Source organism: Homo sapiens, chromosome 2 (genome assembly GCF_000001405.40).
Source record: "Homo sapiens chromosome 2, GRCh38.p14 Primary Assembly".
Classification (NCBI taxonomy): Eukaryota; Metazoa; Chordata; class Mammalia; order Primates; family Hominidae; genus Homo; species Homo sapiens.
In genome coordinates, this window is record NC_000002.12 from 236,571,614 (window position 1) to 236,591,476 (window position 19,863).

The following is a 19,863-nucleotide window of genomic DNA, read 5'->3' on the forward strand; positions in this document are numbered from 1 at the left end:
GAATGAAAAAAAAAAAAAAAAAAAAAAAACCCAAAACAAAAAACCCTGCTTAATCAGGAACAGTGGCTTTTTGTGTGATCATTTTAGGGCGAGAGCTCCTGTTTTCAAGTCGACGTGAGGGAAATTGGTTGAAGTCACTCAAACCTGAGGCTGAAGGGCAGTCACTTTATAAACCTTAAGAGTAACCGAGGGGAAAGAAAAAGACCTCAAAGATTGCAAAACTTTAGATTTTTTTTTTGTGATTTTGTAGAACATGAGGGGAATCTGGGGCCAGAAGGCATTTGTACCTTTAAACCAGGCAATCAAATAACTTAGTTTTATTATTAGAAGCAAGAATAGTATTAAAACGCCTTCAATTGGATTGCACGTGTGTAGGCATAATTCAGGAAGAAACTAAAGATCGTGTCATGTCAAGTGTTACTAAAGTTCAGGAAGGAAAAGACAAAGCTCCAGGACACGTATTTTCTGTTGAAATAAAAGAAAGCAAGCCAGAAATAGACAGATCAGGACAGGGAGGCGTGCAGGCGGTGGCCCTGATTTTGAATATTTGATGGTTTCCTTCAGGGAATGTTTGATGCTTTTATCGACTAATTTGGAATTGAAAAAAACAAAACAAAACACTATTGCTTCAATATTAAAGTGATCAGGGAATTGCATAATTTTATGGTGACAATTTTAAAGAGCCACAGGTAGTTTTGGAAGCAGACTGTGTTTTGTTCCAGGCACTGAAAAAGTGGATGGGGGCCGAGACTATCTCAGGTGGCCTTGAACCACTGTTGGCAAAGGGACAGATAACGAGCCCAGGGCAGTGTGGGGGACTTTGCGTTTTGAAGTCTGGGTCAGCCAGATAGTAAGCATCTTTTGCTTTTCCTGCTATAACAGATATGTGGCCATCCTCCCTCAGTTGTATATGCAGAGCCTAAGTTTGCACAGTGTCCTCCTGGGAACCCCATTGTGTCTGGCTTAGGGCGGGGGTGAGGAGGCTCTCCTAGCCTGGCTGACCTCCCACTGCCTCGTCCTAGTCCTAAGCTGGGTGGGAATCAGGGCTCTGGTTACACTGGGCCGGCCCAGACGGCAGCCTTTGTGACGTGGGAATCTCTGGACCTGCTCTTGTGGGTATAGCTTTGCTTCCCTGTCGGGCAGCTGAGCACAATAGACCAGATCAGGTTTCTGGACGTGGGATTTATTTGATCCCCCAAATCCTTAAAGTGGACGAGGGTGTCCCACGTGTTCATGTGAAGTATGTCTAAGGACCCTGGGAAGAGGTGGACTGTATCTGAATCAGGATATAGAGTTTTCTGTAGTTATTATTTTTTGCGTTCTCAAGTAATTCAAAGCAGTTATGTACTTGCATAAAATAAGATCACTCACGGTCACTAGTGAATGTGTAGTCAAGACTGTTTTCCATTTGCTGGCAGCAGAGGGGACAGACAGCTACCCATTCTGCTATCAGCCCTAGCAGATAGTCACAGAGAGTCTGCCTGGGCCAAAGCTCCCCTAGGTTACTTGGTTGGTTTCCCCATAGATTCGATGTAGCATTGGTTAAAAACACACAGACACACAGACACACACACATGCACACACACACACACCCCACTCAATGATGCGCAGTTGCCTAATGGTTCTTCAGAGGTAGTGTGGATTCTCCTGATCTAACTTGCAGGCTCAGCGTAAGCGGGGCTGGCCTGGTGGAAGAGGTGTTATCTGCTCAAGGAGACCAGAGCGTTTGCTTTTGTAGCATGATTCCCGCTGGAGAGTCCCTGGAGATGTTGGAAAGGGGAAGAGAACTCTGTTCTTAGCCACAAGCGCACCATAACCCAGTCTCTTCACCCGGCCTGGCCTCAGTTTCCAGGTGTGCAAACAGTGAGGGCCACTGTCCCAGCTCTTGTCTGGGACAATACCAAGTTTCTTCATGAAATTCCCTTGTAGGACACAGGTCTCACACTGCAGAAAGCCAGTGAAGGAGGCAGAAGTCCTGCAGGGCCCAGATGGCCAGAGGGTCCCCCTTTTCGGAGCTGGTCCCGGGGCCCCAGGCCTGGCCTGAGTTATCTTATCTATACCACTGTAGAGGAGTGATGTGTGTGTAGCAGCCTGGTCTGCACCCAGCTACCAGACCACCCCACTGCAAAGCTGCCTGTGGGGTTCGTATCACTTCCATTCTCAAAGCCTCCTCTGCTCCAAAGCCATGGCCTTGCTCTAGACTGTCCTGGCTCCTGCATGGACAAGCCCTGGTCATATTCCTTGCCCACCCTTTAAGGCCCAACTCTTACCTCCATTTGCTCTTCGTGGAGAGTCCTTGCCTCAGCCAGGCTGGGTGACTCTACCCATGGCTGTGCCTTCCTGGAACATCCTTGATCACCCCTACCTCCTTGAAGTCCCCCATAAGCCACCAGAGTAGAAACCCCTCATTTTCCTGCTGAAGGGGCATGCACCACCTTGCTCATGCCTGGGGGGTGATGGGCCTGCGTGCCTTCCCAATTAGCCGGCGGGGTCTCGGGGGTTGGGGGGAGATGTTTCTGATTTGTTGTCCTCACGTGCCCCAGAGCAGTGCCTCCTGGAACAAGAGGCTCAGTCCGTCAACACCAGCTCGGTGACGATTTCAGAAAAGTCTCTCCTGGACGCCCGTCTCCGCTGCTGGCCACAGTCGCTGGTCTTGGTGGGGCACGATTAACTGCTGGCTCATTGAGTACCTACTATGTGCAGCTGTAGCTGTATAGCTGTATAGCTGTAGCTACACAAAGTTACAGAAGACTTGGTGGGGGGTGCGGGGCCTGGTAGGAATGAGGTGGAGGGGCAAGAAACCTGAACAACGTGATGGTACAAAAGCCATTCCAGAATAGAGATGTGCAGTGTGGGGCCAGGAGAAGGTGGGAGAATCAGAAGGGCAGAGGGCATCAGTTGGGAAGAGTCTGTGGTTGGAGACTGCAAACATGTGGAAGGGAGTTTGGAGGGACACTGGCCAGGTGCCTGAACACGTGGCATTCTCTGGAAGGAACTAACCAGCGTGAGGACATGCTGATTGCATACTCAGCCACCACCCATGAAGGCTCTAAACCTGAGTACCTGTAATTCCGGCTTCACCCTCAGCTTGCAGAGTGAGCTCAGGGAGACCATTTGGATGTGGCTAAATACCCCAGGCTGCTTGCTGCAGCACGGTCGTTGTCAAGGATACTTGGTTGATGAATAAAACATCCCAGAAACGAGAGGTGCATCTCCGAGAAAGTCCTGCAATTGACAAGAGGAGCCCCAGTACCATCTGGGCTGTGAGTGACAGAGGAGTCCCTTTGCAGGCCATAGGCTGGCAGGGATGGAGGGCTGGACAGGTGCTTGCCCACCGCCGGCCACGGGAAAGTTCTCTCCCTGTCACTGCAACGTGCGACAGGGCCGCTAAAAAGGTGACCCCTGTACGAAGGAATGAATGAGATAAAACAGAGCAAGCGCTGGGAAAAAGGGAATGAAAGCTGACGTTCACTGCTTTTTGTTCTCCCTTGGGTCTCTGTGGTCCAGGAAAATGCAACATGAACCTCGATTGTTCTGTGGACCATTCCTCCCTCTATGAAAATTTACATAATTCTTGATGTCAAATTTCAAATAACACAGAAGTTTATAGAGTAAAAACTACAAGTCTCCTTTTGTTCCCTCCTCCTACCTTCCCAGCCCCAAGTTTTATACTTACTGCAGGTCTTTTTCTATGCCTTCGTGCACATGTATTTACATATAAAAATACACAAATGTAATTTTTGTGTTTCTTTCTGCATAGCTGGGGTTGTGCTGTGTGTGCGTGTGTCTGGGGTTGTGCTGTGTGTGTGTGTGTGTCTGGGGTTGTGCTGTGTGTGCGTGTGTCTGGGGTTGTGCTGTGTGTGCGTGTGTCTGGGGTTGTGCTGTGTGTGTGTGTGTCTGGGGTTGTGCTGTGTGTGCGTGTGTCTGGGGTTGTGCTGTGTGTGTGTGTGTGTCTGGGGTTGTGCTGTGTGTGCGTGTGTCTGGGGTTGTGCTCTGTGTGTGTGTGTGTCTGGGGTTGTGCTGTGTGTGCGTGTCTGGGGTTGTGCTGTGTGTGCGTTTCTGGGGTTGTGCTGTGTGTGCGTGTGTCTGCGTATTGTCTTTCACTGAACAGCATGTCGTAACTCTCCCTGTGCATGAAGGGAGGCCTCCCTCTCACAGCTGTATTATATTCCAGATGGCGGAGACACCAGGCTTTACTGAGTCGTGCCTTTGTTGAAAGACATTTACGTTGTCTCCAGTGTTTGCTCGTAAATAAATACTGCTTTAAAAAACATCTTGTGTACATTTGGAGACACATGAATATTTTGAGGAGAGAAACGTATGAATTTGTATCATCATAGAACTGGAAAGAAACGTCTTTTGTTCTGCACCCCCTCCCCTTCCTTCCCCCTGGAATCTTTTATGCAGAAACCTTAGAACCTAAGTGTCAGAAGTGGGTCTCATTCCCCTGCCTGCCCTGGCATGGGCACTGAGGCCCTAGAGACGCAGGCAGTGGGCAGGTTTGATTCACACCCAGACATGTTTCTTAGACCCTGGCCTCAAGCGGGAATGGAATTGCTGGTTGATTCCAGCAGAGGGTGACTGGTCTAAGTGGATGTCTCCTTCAGGCCCTGTGGCTATCGGCCTTCCCAACTTCCCAGCGTAAACAGACCCCGCACAGGCTGAGAGGCATTAAGAATGTATACAAGGACCCGAGGGCTGGCCCATCCAGATCTGTGCGGAATGCAGTCAGCTCTTTCTGTATGGGATGAGGTAATCCCCTGCTTTTGCTTGAGGGGACCTGTGATTTCTGTGCAGGGCCCGCTGGGGGTTCATTAGAGGCCTCCCTCCCTCTCTCCACTTTCAGATTTTGCAGGGAGCTTTGTCACCAGGCTTTTGAGAACCAGGGGCCCTGGGTACACATTTCATAGTTTGCTCTATGAAGCTTTTGTTCCTATCAGGGATTCTGAGAGTGTCACTTATTAAGATCTAAGCAGGTAATTTAGGAAGATTCTTTGCTCCAATAGTGGACGCACAACCATCAGTGAATGGTGGTCAATGAAAGTGGGCCCTGCCCACCCTAAACGTCCTGCACGCAGGCTGGGGCGGCCAGAGCCTTTGTCGCAGGCCACCTTCCATGTTACACGGCAGTTCCCTATTTTGAATAAGGGGATTGTCTTTGTCAAATAATAATCTGTTTGCTGGAGACAGCTCTTGTTTCTGAAACCTAATGCATGAAAAATACCGAAATGACAAAAGGGTAAGCTATAGTATGACATTTTTGTTTTTCTGTTTTTTGTTTTCTTTAGCTCCCATTTGAATTTGCAGAGGACTTGATGACTGCACTGTCTGCTTAATCTCCCTTTTCACTGTACTTTCCTTCCTATCTGACCCCTGGAACCTTTGGTGGTGGGAAGGGAGAGGCCCGTCCAGGCCCCGAGAGGAAAGCAGGTGGTCAGGGTGTGGGCCTCTGGCTTTGTTTCCTGGCCAGCCCCAGTGTGGGCTGCTGTTCCTTGGGCTGACTGGTGGTTAATGATTGAGGATCGGTGATCGGTGAGTGATGATAGGTGGCCGGTGATCGGTGGGGCAGTGAGGAGCTCCAGCCTCCGCTCTCTCATTCAGCCCTTGGGCAGCAACAGCCATGCCCTTGTTGGAAGTTTCCCACTGTGCCACCCGGGAGGGGAGAAGCAAGGACAGAGGCGAGGACGGCTGAGCGGGGAAGTGCCTATCTCAGAAATACTGTTTTTGACTCAGAGGACCAATGGTCCCTAAATCAAATTTTCGTCACCCAAAGAGGCAAAGGTAGAAAGCCAAGGGCTGGATGGGGGTCCCTGAGCCCTTTTCCACCTCTCAGTCCCACTCTGGGCTCTGAGAATACTGAAGGCTGCTGGTAGCTCAAAGCGGGTGAGTGTCTATTTTGTGCTAAGAGTGGAGGAACTGGAAGGAAGGACACACTCGAGATGTGGGAACCAGGCGTCTTCTCACTGAGTGACCCTGCCTCCTGCTGGGGCCTGTCCATGCTGAGCAGTGGCCAGGCGCCTGGCCAGCCGGCATCTGACATGTCTCTACACTGGAGGGCAAGTAAGACCTGAGCCAGAGGAATGTCACCATGGTGGGGGAGAGAGGTGGGGCGGATTCGGGATCCAAGTTCGGGCGAACAAAGACTGAGGGTCATTTCTTTCTAGCCCCTGTGAATGGCCCAAACCCCAGGATTTATGGCAGCTTCTGCTGTGTGGCTGTGCCAGTGGGGACAGAGCAGGGAGCCCAAGCCAGGCGCCAGCCGAGCTCCCTCTGGACCCAGCTGCTGTCCCTGCTGCTGCCCAGCTGTGGGGCGGTCCTCCATTCAAGCTCCTCTGCTCCCCGGGACTCTGGGGTCAGATGAGATCATGGGGGAAAGTGTTTTGGAAACCAAGCCATGATGCAAATGTGTTTCGTTTTAAGGAAATGGGAGAAAGGAACAAGGATTGTTGCAGTAGAGCCATGTGGGGAGAGCAAAGGTGAAATCCTTGTCTCCTGGCATCACGGGGTGGAGAGTGGAACGTCAGCTCTGGGTCATTTGGTGGCCAAGGAAAGATGGCGATAGTAGCTTCAAGGCACGGCCTGGGGTTGCCCGTCCACCCTGGAGGCAGTCTGGCAGGACAGGGTGTCCTCAGCTCCCTGCTGGGCCTACGTCCTTTTGGAGTTCTAGAGCTGCGTCTTAGGACAAGTGTGCCAAGCCTCCTGCTTTGAGTTTCTGTCCTGACCTTGACCTGGCTCACCTCCATGGGCAGCCTCCCATGCTTGGGCATCAGGGCTTGTCATAAGTCCGTGGTCACAGGGCTTGATTCCTCCTAGTGGGTGACTCTGAGGACGGCCAGGCCTCCCGCTGCAGGACCAGCGTGGTTCCCTCCATGGAAGGCTTTCAGAGTGTGGAGGGGATGCGGCTGTCTTGGGAGGCCCAGCCCTTTCTGTCAGCCGTGGAGGACACTGAGTCAGGTTAGGTCACGAGGAGGGGACCCCACAGTCATTTACATCCCGCAGAGGGAAGTGCCCAGAAGCCCGCAACAGTCTCCGCTAAGTGGGGTTCACGCCAGGTCCTCTGCTGTGAATGTGGAGGCTGTGGAGCCGAGGCCGCGAAATTTCTCACTTTTCAGGGATTCTGTTCAAGTTGTCCCAAAGGAGAAGCCCATCAAACAACCCAGTCTCTGTGCGAGCTCCCCCGGGGGCATTTACTACTCAGCCAGTGAGAGCCAGGTTTCCAGGGGAATAGAATTAAACAAGGTTCTGCTTTTTGCTGAAGGGAAAAACCGCTCCCTTAGGTGGGAGAATCCCCAGGGTTCTTTCTTCCTGGCCAGGGAGGGAGAAGGGGGTGACGTTTTATTGAGCATCGGCTAGGGCCAAGCTCTCAATTAGGCCCTTTCTTCTTTCTTCTTAGGGTATCTGTGAGATAGGTGCTGCTGTCCTGGGGAGGTAGATGCAGACAGATTAACTCTCAAGGTAAATGCTAATGAATAGAGGAGCCAGAATCCCAACCCAGGAATGTCTGATCTCGGAGTGGGCGGCTTCCCAGCTGTGGCTTTGCATACCGCTAGCGTAGCCACCCGGACCCTGATCCCCTGACCCTTGTCCTTGATCCTCCAGGAAATTCTCATATGTAACCTGGAATCCACTTTAAATGAACTCGGTAAATAATGTCTTGACTCTAGGCCAGTCATTACCTGGGACAGGTGAGGGGGAAGGGCAACCACCTGACTATGTCACTGTCAACAGTGCATCCTTGGGCTGAGGTTTTCATTTTACAGTGGGGTTCAGGCAGGGCTAATTGCTGACCCAGGACTGTGGCCTGGAGGGATTTCAGGGCCTTCCCATGGGCGGACTGACAGTAGAAGACAGCCCCTGTCAGTCTATCTGAAGAAATCAGTGCCAGATAACAATGGTACCCCGTGGCTGAATTCTGGCTGGGAGTGAAATGGTGATGGAGTGTTGGTCTCACCTCAGGTCAGCAGGGAAAACAGTTGGGAAAATGGTCAGCCCTCCTGAAATGCAGCAGGTGGTGATTTTTGTGTTTTGAGTCTTGGCACACCTTGCTGTTGAAGCAGTTGAACAAATAAAGGAATGGAAAAACAGGTGCTGACCCAAAGCTTGAGACAGCTGGTTGGTTGCCCTTCGTTGAAAACCACACGGCCAACCCAGAGTCTTCAGGTTTGGGGCGCAGTTAAGCTGTGGGGCACCCTGCGTAGGCTCACTGTGTTTCCAGAGGCTTTATGACTGCACACTGGGGCCGCCTGAGACCCAGGTTTATATGTGAATTTAGCAGACAAGTAAAAAGTGCTGAGTCACATTATAAATGCAAATTTGGAGGAGGATTTGAAATGCTTTCATTAAGACACCAAAGCAGGACACTTGTAATACAGCAGTGCCAGGAGAGGACAACCCTGCCATTCTTTGGGGACCTAGATAAAATGGCTCCACTGTCCCCTGCTGAGAGTGAGCAGGCCATCAGCATCGCGGTGGCCGGGGCTCAGCTGCCTGACGTTTCTTTGGCCCCTGTACTGTGTTGATTTCACACACTGGGCACAGCCATGCTGGCGGTGTCTTGAGAACACAGCCATGAAAAGATGGAGAAAGCAAACACAGTTTCTGTCTTGGAGCACCACATGGATTTAGATTCAGAGTATGATTTATTTTGTTTTGGAGAGTTTTATTATGAATTTTTTTTCTCCCTTCTTTGCAAAGACATTACAGAGCTAAACCCAAACAGCTGAGCCTATCAGGGCCTTGGAAAAGCATTTTTGCCTGAAACTTGAGTTTTTCCTAATGAAGTGACTTTCCTCTTCCATCTTTTTTGTTTGCTTGGTTTTCTCATAGGTCATTTGATTGCCCGCCTCAGAACGATGGATCTGCATCTCTTCGACTACTCAGAGCCAGGGAACTTCTCGGACATCAGCTGGCCATGCAACAGCAGCGACTGCATCGTGGTGGACACGGTGATGTGTCCCAACATGCCCAACAAAAGCGTCCTGCTCTACACGCTCTCCTTCATTTACATTTTCATCTTCGTCATCGGCATGATTGCCAACTCCGTGGTGGTCTGGGTGAATATCCAGGCCAAGACCACAGGCTATGACACGCACTGCTACATCTTGAACCTGGCCATTGCCGACCTGTGGGTTGTCCTCACCATCCCAGTCTGGGTGGTCAGTCTCGTGCAGCACAACCAGTGGCCCATGGGCGAGCTCACGTGCAAAGTCACACACCTCATCTTCTCCATCAACCTCTTCGGCAGCATTTTCTTCCTCACGTGCATGAGCGTGGACCGCTACCTCTCCATCACCTACTTCACCAACACCCCCAGCAGCAGGAAGAAGATGGTACGCCGTGTCGTCTGCATCCTGGTGTGGCTGCTGGCCTTCTGCGTGTCTCTGCCTGACACCTACTACCTGAAGACCGTCACGTCTGCGTCCAACAATGAGACCTACTGCCGGTCCTTCTACCCCGAGCACAGCATCAAGGAGTGGCTGATCGGCATGGAGCTGGTCTCCGTTGTCTTGGGCTTTGCCGTTCCCTTCTCCATTATCGCTGTCTTCTACTTCCTGCTGGCCAGAGCCATCTCGGCGTCCAGTGACCAGGAGAAGCACAGCAGCCGGAAGATCATCTTCTCCTACGTGGTGGTCTTCCTTGTCTGCTGGCTGCCCTACCACGTGGCGGTGCTGCTGGACATCTTCTCCATCCTGCACTACATCCCTTTCACCTGCCGGCTGGAGCACGCCCTCTTCACGGCCCTGCATGTCACACAGTGCCTGTCGCTGGTGCACTGCTGCGTCAACCCTGTCCTCTACAGCTTCATCAATCGCAACTACAGGTACGAGCTGATGAAGGCCTTCATCTTCAAGTACTCGGCCAAAACAGGGCTCACCAAGCTCATCGATGCCTCCAGAGTCTCAGAGACGGAGTACTCTGCCTTGGAGCAGAGCACCAAATGATCTGCCCTGGAGAGGCTCTGGGACGGGTTTACTTGTTTTTGAACAGGGTGATGGGCCCTATGGTTTTCTAGAGCAAAGCAAAGTAGCTTCGGGTCTTGATGCTTGAGTAGAGTGAAGAGGGGAGCACGTGCCCCCTGCATCCATTCTCTCTTTCTCTTGATGACGCAGCTGTCATTTGGCTGTGCGTGCTGACAGTTTTGCAACAGGCAGAGCTGTGTCGCACAGCAGTGCTGTGCGTCAGAGCCAGCTGAGGACAGGCTTGCCTGGACTTCTGTAAGATAGGATTTTCTGTGTTTCCTGAATTTTTTATATGGTGATTTGTATTTAAATTTTAAGACTTTATTTTCTCACTATTGGTGTACCTTATAAATGTATTTGAAAGTTAAATATATTTTAAATATTGTTTGGGAGGCATAGTGCTGACATATATTCAGAGTGTTGTAGTTTTAAGGTTAGCGTGACTTCAGTTTTGACTAAGGATGACACTAATTGTTAGCTGTTTTGAAATTATATATATATAAATATATATAAATATATAAATATATGCCAGTCTTGGCTGAAATGTTTTATTTACCATAGTTTTATATCTGTGTGGTGTTTTGTACCGGCACGGGATATGGAACGAAAACTGCTTTGTAATGCAGTTTGTGACATTAATAGTATTGTAAAGTTACATTTTAAAATAAACAAAAAACTGTTCTGGACTGCAAATCTGCACACACAACGAACAGTTGCATTTCAGAGAGTTCTCTCAATTTGTAAGTTATTTTTTTTTAATAAAGATTTTTGTTTCCTAAAAATGCATCAAGTCTCAGTTTTCAAAGTGTGTTTTGGCACTTGAATAGCACACATGATAATAATTCATGGATATATATGGCACACACAGGCCACCTGCATGAACATGCTCAGAAAAAGAGTGCTGCTGTAAAGCAAAAGCTACCAGGTTAACTTGTTTGAAATGATATAAAAAGAAAAAATCATTTGAGCACACTGCATGGTTTTTAAAAAAATTTTCAGGCAATAGTGTTTTTGGTGTGGGGGATGATTGCTAGGGTCCAGCTAGGAGAGAAGGCTGGCACAGAGAAGGTGCCACTTGCTTCTACTTCCTGCTGGCCAGAGCCATCTCTGTTCTGAACCTGTCTGAACTCTCCGTCCAGACAGGAGAGTTTCAGGGTGCAGGACTGGTGTCCTCATCTGTACCACCTGTGTGCTTCCAGGGCCAGTGGCACAGCCCCTTAAATCTCATCTGCTAAGGTAAACACCTCCAGGGGCAATATTTCCTATTGAGAGTTTTCATTTAAACCATGCCAATCAGCTACCCCCTTGAGGCCACACAATGAGCGAATCCCCAGCTTGCGCATGTCCTTACTAGTGGTTGGAAAGAGTGCTCTCAGAATGGCCAGTTCCTGCTGTGCCCTCTCTAACTCTACCTGGAGCCACAAGAATGGCGGAGACTTCAACAGACGAGTCAGCTGGGCAGGGGCTCAGAGAGGGGCTGGGCTCCCAGCACTGCCCTCACCACCTCCACCTCTGCCAAGACCTCTCTGCACAGAGAGCTGTTTGCCAACCCAAAGGCAGACCCAGATGCTCGTCTGACCTGTGGGCTTGGGCGCTGCTGCTAGGTTGGAAAGCACCTTGTGCAAGTCCTTGCCCCACAGACCCACAATGGGCAGCCCTGCAGTCCCCAGGGGCCCATAGACCGAGTGCACTACAGGGGAATCCTATTTCCTGCAAAGGTCTTCACAGCTTAGAGTTTTGAAACTAGGGCTGTAACTTACTGGAAATATGTTCTTGATACACATGTACATCCTCAGGTGCATATATACACCTGGTCTTCAGTGGGATTCTGGTCCGATAACAATGATGTAGATAGTGGGATAACAGCATACAAGAGGCAAAGATACCAAGAAGAAGGGAAAATAAGAGTAGGTAGGATGGCAACATGGAATCGGGAAAGTTCTCGACCCAAATATGTGTTCCTTGACGATAAAAATGGCTTGCATGTTTGCTGTGAGCCTTCTAGGGGTCAAGTTCAGGCAGAAATACACTTTTCCAGTAGTAAATTCAAAATGGGGAGGGGGAGGAGGGCATCAATTGCAGTCCACATGCTCAGCCTTGCAATAGATGGGCGGTAAAAGGCATTCAACTGAACTGCTATGCTGAATTGCCATCGCGGTCCATCCAGCGGTCTCTCCCACCCGCTTACCCTAGAATTTCAGTAGGTTCCCGGGGGCTAACAGTGCTGGGGTGGGTGAGGGTCTTTCAGGCTTGTGTGTCTACGTGGATGTCTGAGAGGACCTGTCGATCCTTCTGCAGGGCTCCTCTGCCACCCCAGTTCATGTGGCTCTTGCTGCTGCTTTTGCCTCGCTGGATGGTGAGACTGGTCTGGCCCTTTTCTGTTTTTCTGCTGTTCTGCAGCCTGGGGGCTGCCCCAGCTGCCTCCTCCCACACTGCAGTGGAGGGGGTGGGGAGGGAGGGTGACACTGAACTGGACCCGGACTCACCAGGTGGCACCTTTTGCTTTGGGGGGATTTTCCATCTCCCACAGGGCCCAGGGCACCGTGGCCTACTGTCCCAGACCCTCCGACGTCCCTGGGGTCTGCTGTCTGCAGGGGCAGGCTCCATCTCGGGAATGCTCCAGTGACTGTGTTCTTTCTGTTCCTTCTAGAAATCCCCTTCTTTGTCCTGCCTGGGGCTGGAAGACTTGCTGGTTTATTCCTAGTTATCTGGACTCAAAATCTCTTTCCTTTGATTTCCACTGCAGGGTCCTTCCCTGGAGCCAGGTGGGATAACAGAGGCTGGGTCAAGGGACACAGAGTGTCCTGAGGGGAGGGGAGTTAATACTGAAAAAAAAAAAAAAATCAGCCCCACCCTATGACTGTGGTGTAGAAGAGGCAGAGAGAATCCTGAGCTGTATTTGGATATGGGGTGGGCCTTGAAGGGAGGAGGGGTGGACAGGAGACCCCTGGCTCTCCTCAAATCCAGGGACTAGAGGGCCTGCAGTGCTGCCATTGGAGGGTCATTCTTTGGCGTCCTTTTCTCTGTACAGATCTTCCAAGACACCCGCCTCCTGATGTGGTAAGAAAGCTGTTAGCGCCATGACCTTGGACCCCAGGAAGGATGTCTGGAGCCCCAGGCACAGGGTGGGACCTCAGAGTTGGGAGAAAAGCAGCTTTGGCTTTCTTGATGGCGCTTCCTGGAGCCTCCTCCCATCCCAGGCTCTAATACTCTGCTCCTGTTTCATGGTTGAAATGCCCAAGGCATGGCGGGCGGTGGGCAGCGGAAGGCCACCCCCAGCAGCCCGGATGGCAGCCCGTCATCAGTGAGTCAGTGTTAAATGCTTTCCATCTGGTTCAACGTATGAGCTGCTGACCTTGATTGTACCCCAGGTTCCCCACAAGTGAAGAAGAAAAATAATGCCGCTGAAAAGCCCAGATGGAAAATCATCTGAGCACAAGGGAATACGATCTATTTGCTGGCTGATGGCTTTTGGTCCTTCCAAGAGTCTCGCAGCAACCTGGGATGGGACCCCACTGATATCTGTGGTCAGATCTGGGCAGAGCAGCAATACATTTTAAATCTTCTGTAGCCGATGCTTCCTGGGGCCTCTCCAGGAGGCAGCAGCTCCGGGGCATGGTCTATTTTATTAGGAATGTGGAAATTCTGCCTTACTGGGCTTCTACTCTGAGGATATTGGCTGTATATATGTAATGGATCTGGGAGACATCACATTTAGGTAAGCACAGGTGTCTCAGAACTCTGGGGAAAAGTGGCGTGCTGTGGATCTGTACTGTTGGGATGGATGGCTGAGGAAGACAGCAGAGAAAGTTCCCAGAGCTTTCTCCTGGAGGTATGAGCTTTTGCCCCTAAGTGCCAGGGATACCTCTGCATGGGCCTATGCCACTGAGATTTTAGTCCTTCAGGGGCAGTGGTTTCAGGTGGGCTAAATGCTTTAAAAGATCGACCCACCGCTATAGAACATTTCCCACTTCCTGTTTCTTAGTCTTGGATTTCCCAGGAAAAGCTCCCTGGTGGTTTGCATTTATGCAGGGACTGCTAAGATCCCACAGTCTCGATATCAATGACATTTGATATGGAACACGATTAGTTTGAATGAGGTTTGATAGGACATTAAACCACTCGAAAGTGGTTGAGATTTATGGTGGTTCGTTTGCCCTGAGGATGGCTGAGGACGGCCTGACTCTTCCATAAACTCTTCTGGCAGAGTAGCAGAGTTTGCTCACCTCGTGCAGTCTCTGACGCTCACACAGACCTGTGCATACACCTAGACTTGCTACCATCTGTGTGACCAACACACACTCCTGGACACAGTTTCCATGTGCATGTTTAGGACCATCCTAGCGAGAGCCTGGGCCACAGGGTTGAGATCCGCCTTCTCAAAGTCTCAGGCCTCTGCCAAGTGTGTAGCCCAAAGAACCATCACTGTTTACTATCCTGGGGAATGTGGGCCAGGTTTTAGCTTTGCTAAACTTAGCTTCCTTGTTTATAATGTTGGACGATGATAGTACTTGATTCATAGGGTAATCGTAATGATCAGATCGCACAGTCTCTGCAAAATGCATGTCACGGTGCCTGGGGCACACATAGTACATGCTCAGAGAACAACAGCCATTCTGACCACTTTCTCTGGGCATAATTTGCATTTTTCTTGAGAAGAAACAATGCATTTCAGAGAAATCGGGCAAGAGAATATCTGCCTGTGGGTGGTGAGTGAAAAGATGAGGCACATCTGTCTCAAACTCATTCTAACTGGGGACAATTTGCACCCCCAGGAGACATTTGTCAATGTCCAGAGATATCTTTAGTTGTCCCAACTTGGGGTGGGGAATGCTAATGTCATCTTGTGAGTCAAGGCCAAGAATGCTGCTGAACAGCCAGTTGTGCACAGGAGAGCCCCCAGACAGAGAATTACTGATATGGCTTGACGGTGTCCCCACCCAAATCTTATCTTGAACTCTAGCTCCCATAATTCCCACATGTTGTGGGAGGGACCTGGTGGGAGATAACTTGAGGCAGCTGGTAGAAAAGCAGCTTTGGCTTTCTTGATGGCGTTTCCTGGAGCCTCCTCCCAATCATGAGGGCAGTTTCCCCCGTACTGTTCTTGTGGTAGTGAATAAGTCTCATGAGATCTGATGGTTTTATATGGGGTTTCCCTTTTCACTTGGCTCTCCTTCTCTCTTGCCGGCCACCATGTAAGACATGCCTTTCACCTTCCACCATGATTGTGAGGCCTCCCCTGACATGTGGAGCTGTGAGTTCATGAAACCTCTTTTTCTTTATAAATTAGTCTCCGGTATGTGTTTATCAGCAGTGTGAAAACAGACTAACACAATTACTGAGTCCCAAATGTCAACTGAGTGGAGGTGGAGAGACCCTGGCCTAGGATAAAGCCAACCATTAAGACACAAGACTTCTGGATGCCATTCACTGCCTAGGGAGTTCACTGAGGGTACACAGAGCACCTGGGGAAAAGCATCTGAGTCCTTAGAGCCATGGCTTCTCCATTTCCTGCCCCTCAACTCAGCAGAACCCTAACAGGCCAGGGCAGCACAGACAATCATGCAATGTGGATTCACGCCAGCATCTCCACTGTGCCCAAATATGTTTCAACTACAGGAATTTGGGGCATTTGCCATTTACATAAAAGATGTACTCCTGAAATAGGAACACACAAATTAAACATTAGTAGACATTTTAAGTACCCTTGGGAAGCTTTAAATTGTAATTTAAGATTTAAAGTATTTTGCCTAAAAAGCTCCAGAAAGAACACGGTTAGCAGGACAGAGCTGTGGACAGGACTGCATGAGACCAGGGTGATAGATTCAGTTCTGCTTCTTATTAGCTCCATGGCATTAGAAATATTTCTCCTCAGTTTCCTCACCCTCAAAATTACCTCTCCACCTTTATTAAAGGATTGTTGTAGAGATTGAAAGAGAGCATATATGCGAATCAATGCAGTTGAGTGAATGGACAGAAGAATGAGTGAAGTACTTTGAAACCTGCGTAGGGCCACGCAAATGTTCCTAACCCTTTTCTAAGCTTTTTTTCGTTTTGTTATCGGCATGATTCATTTTTATATTGCCCAATGCTTAACCCACGTGCTGTCCAGTTATGTCACAGTATTGAAATCTATCACGCCTCTAGTGTGCCTCATTCGTTCCGGGTTTGTCTGAAGTCTACAAGGGGTTCATGTTCACCTGTCTATTGCTGTCAGGCGCGGTGCTCATGGCCTTTGTCTAGGTTTTTCAGGGCTGGGCTTCTCCAGCTCTGACATCAACAGCCCTGGGGACAGGACCCCTGTGAAGGGGGATATGGTTATCTGGATGGCATGGGAAGAGGAATGCCCAATTCTGGAGTTTTTCTTATTTTTCAAAAGCTTCATTTTTGTTGGCTTTTCATATGCTTATGCACCCAGACCTTTCCATGTGGGATTCGGAACGGCTGACAATCATGTCATTTCTCCCGACAGGTTGGGAGAAAAAAAGTGGTGGCTTCATCAGCCATTTGTTCCCTGTAATGCTCAGAAGCAGCAGAATGAAAAAATCTGAATTTCCATAGTTATTTCCGGAACTAAACTGATTAAAATCATTTCCTAGGTAGGTCGGCATCTTCCCTTTCACAGTTTTCAGAAGAAAAGGCAAAGAGAAAGTCATTGTGGCAATGGCATTAAATCTGCTTGGGTGACTCAGAATGTATGTTGGCACGGCAACATGTCATGGGGCGAGCGGCAAACATGTCCTGTCGGTGGCGGTGGCGTGTCTGAAAGGGCCTTGGGCTCCACCGTGCCATGCTGGATTTGCTTCCTTTTAGCCTTTCACATGAAAGTGTTTGAAGCTAATCTTTTCATTCCTTTACGCGGGGCTCGTCAATAGGACGAACGCATTAAAGGTTTCCCCACCGTTGCGTTTCTCAGGGCCGTTGTTAAAAGTGTGAATTGTGTTTCGTGCCACACTGTAATGAGAATTTTAATTTCATGCGCAGCCCAAAGTGTAAATGAAAAATCGTCCGTTGCCCAGCTATGCAGACGGTGAATGTCTTTCCCTGCGACATATTCCACACTCGTTCTTGTTAATTTATTCATCCATCCACACGTTTGTTCGTTCACTCACTGATGGACAAGCTTTAGTGCGCGACCACTGTGTGCCCTGCTCTGTGCTTGTCTTAAAAATGTCACAGATGGCCGAGGGTGATTTTTTTTCCTGTTAAAATGCTCCCAGCCTGGAAGGGGAGAGGGGGAATGAGACGTAGAGAAATCATTAAGGGGCAACATGGTGAGAAGGATTCTGGAAGGATCCTTTAGATTGGGGGAATTGGGAAGGCTTAAAAAGGAGTCCTCCTATCCTGGCCCAACGATGGCCAGAACCTCGGAGGGCAAGCCCCGGGGATGAGGTATGGGGATGGCAGGCCTCAGTTCCTGGGATGCCATCACTTTTGGGGGTAGACACTTCAAGGAAAAGCGGAGGTGTCTGAGAGGTGTTCAGAAGTTGACAAACACTGATGTTGTCATCATTGTGCGGTAAGAGCTATTGATGGCAGGAATCAAAGGTCATCATGGCCACTACCAGTGAGGACAGAAAAAGAGGCTTGGAGCCAGGAAGTCGGGAAAGTGGACAGAGAGGCCTCTGGGCTCTGCAGGTCAATGGCTGTAGCCTCCTTCTGGCTTTGCTGTGCAGCCAGGGACCTTGTCTTCCCCGCTCGGACAATCAAACAAGCAGCTCGGAGTTCATGACTATCTGGGAATCCTGCTTAGCCAAAAACGACATCTGTCAGATGGGTTTCCCTTTTTCCCTGGAGGTTTTCGAAAGCTCTGGTTGTTCTTGAGGATCGCTTGACCCCAGGCAGACCCTTGAGCCACACCCTTGCTGCAGGCGGTGCTCATAGAGTATGCGATGCTTGGTGGGAGACCCTCTGGAGCACTGTTCATGAGCACAAGCCTGGGCTGAGACCCAGACACCAATGGCAGCAAGCAGTTTTCACCCCCGCACCCAAGGCGGGGCCTCTTGAGACAATCACAGGATTAGTATAAATAGAACTTGTGGGGAAGCAAAATTTTAATTCTATCATGGCTCTCAGCTCTTCCCTGCTGTAGAAGGTACCACTGGACGTGTGTTTCCAGAAGGAAGGGGCAACTCTCTGTAAGCCTGAGCTCCTCTCCTCATCCCTGCCTGGTGGCACACACCGCAGTGGCCTATGCTGGTCTCCGTGGCGGTTCAGAGGAGGCGGAGACTACATTTTCATACTGGGTTCACGGTCTCACCTGGCCAGCCCTGACCCAGTGTCTCCATCGCTCACAGTCTCACCTGGTCAGCAAGACCCAGTGTCTTCGTCATATTGCACCCTCCCCTACACCAAATTTTTTTAAGCCAAGGAATTAGGGTCATCTCTACATGCAAAACCCAATCTGGGCACGGGCAGAGGTGCCTGGTGCCCACGGCTCTCTATCCCCTGCCCTCTACCCGGCCCTTCCCCACAAGGCCCGTGCACTGAGTTACTGAAAACTTGACCTGCACCCCTCAAGCTGTTGCCCTTGGGTACTGGGACCCCTCAACATAAGGAGGGCTGGACATGCCTTGGAGTCCCACAGTCAGTGCCTGGCAGTATGGCTGTGTAAGAGCCCAGCTCCTGTGCCACAAGGCAGGACCAGCTTCAGGGTGTGCGTTATGCTTTGAGTCTCCCCTTGATCACACCTTCCATTGGATTTTTCCCCTCCCCTCTCCTGCCTCACCCACTCCCTGACTGGGGTACTTGCTCCCAAATCCTCAGCTTAGGGCCAAAGGAGGCCCCAGGAGAACAGAGCTCAGATGATGTATCAGTCAGCTCAGCTGCTGCAACAAGACATCACGGACTGGGAGGCCTAAACACCAGAAATCTCTCAGAGTTCCTGAGGCTGGGAAGTCCAAGGTCAAGGTGCCCCCGAGGGAGGTTTCATTCTGAGGCCTCCTGTCTTGGCTTTGAGGTGGCCGCCATCTCACTGTGTACACACATGGCCTCTCTGTGCAGGGAGAGATAGAATGAGCTCTCTGGTGTCTCTCCTAAGAGGACAAAAATCCTATTGGTTCAGGGCCCCATCCTTATGCCCTCAGTTAAGCTTAATTAATTCCGTAGAGGCCCTACTTCAAATATAGCCACACTGGGGGTGAGGGCTTCAAAATATGAATTTTGGGGGGACACAAGCCTAACAGAGACAAAGTAATGAATGAAATAGGAGCAATTACTGAGCACTTGCTGTGTGCCTAGCCCCTCATGTACAGCCTAAAATTCAACCCAGAGACAGAAAGAGCCATTGTGTGCCGCCACAACCCATCCCAGCCAGGTAGGCAGTGCTAGTGCAAAGGACGAGGCCATTCATTTCAGAAAGAAGGGAAGCAGGAGTGGGGGTGAGGGGCCGCAGGGCACTGGCCTGTGAGCTGGAGTCTGAACGCCACTGGTCAGGGCTAAAGCCTGTGCCCAGGCATGCTGCCTGCTGCCTCCTGCCTCCTGCTCAGACAGTGTGAGGACTCTATTAGCTTCCTAAAGCCGCCGTGACCAATTGCCACAAACTGGTTGGATTACAACCACCGAGATTCATGCTGTCACACTTCTGGGGGCCAGAAGTCAAGGTGTGTTCAGGGTTGGTTCTTCTGGAGGGTCTGCGGGGTGGTGGTGGGTTCCTTGCCTCCTCCAGCTTCTGGTGTGGCCGGCAAGCCTGGGTTGGAAGATGCATCACTCCCGTCTCTGCCTCTGTCTTCACTCAGCCTCCTCCTCTGTCTCATTTTGCCTCCCCTTCTCATCTAAGAGCACTTGTCATTGGATTTAGGGCCCATCCTAATTCCAGGATAGTCTCATCTCGAGATATTTGAGTTAATTACATCTGCAAAGAGTCTTTCCAGTGAAGGCCCCATCCACAGGTTCCAGGGGACAT

At 50.2% G+C, this 19,863-nt stretch overlaps 1 protein-coding gene across 5 annotated transcripts in view, besides 2 other annotated features; it reads left to right on the forward strand.

Moving 5' to 3' along the window:
* Window positions 1–10,741, forward strand: part of ACKR3 (atypical chemokine receptor 3) — a 45,233-nt gene extending 34,492 nt beyond the window's left edge. For 4 of the 5 annotated variants that reach the window (XM_005246098.4, XM_047445135.1, XM_005246097.4 and 1 more), the window contains one exon: window positions 8,827–10,741. In XM_005246098.4, the coding sequence (XP_005246155.1) occupies window positions 8,853–9,941 (1,089 nt within the window). In that variant the 5' untranslated portion in view covers window positions 8,827–8,852 and the 3' untranslated portion in view covers window positions 9,942–10,741. Of the gene's footprint in view, window positions 1–7,393; window positions 7,456–8,826 lie in introns of all 5 variants that reach the window. The other variant, XM_047445136.1, reaches the window with a different exon arrangement.
* Window positions 7,948–9,147: an enhancer, noted in NCBI's record as "MED14-independent group 3 enhancer chr2:237488204-237489403 (GRCh37/hg19 assembly coordinates)". NCBI's record gives its function as "activates an origin of replication core promoter dependent on BRD2, BRD4, P300/CBP and CDK7 cofactors, and independent of MED14, by STARR-seq in HCT116 cells {active_cell/tissue: HCT116}" and the evidence as "EXISTENCE:reporter gene assay evidence [ECO:0000049][PMID:35650434]".
* Window positions 8,325–8,977: an enhancer, noted in NCBI's record as "H3K4me1 hESC enhancer chr2:237488581-237489233 (GRCh37/hg19 assembly coordinates)". NCBI's record gives its function as "activates a minimal SCP1, AML or CMV promoter by ChIP-STARR-seq in primed H9 embryonic stem cells {active_cell/tissue: H9 hESC(primed)}" and the evidence as "EXISTENCE:reporter gene assay evidence [ECO:0000049][PMID:30033119]".
* Window positions 10,742–19,863: the final 9,122 nt, after the last annotated feature.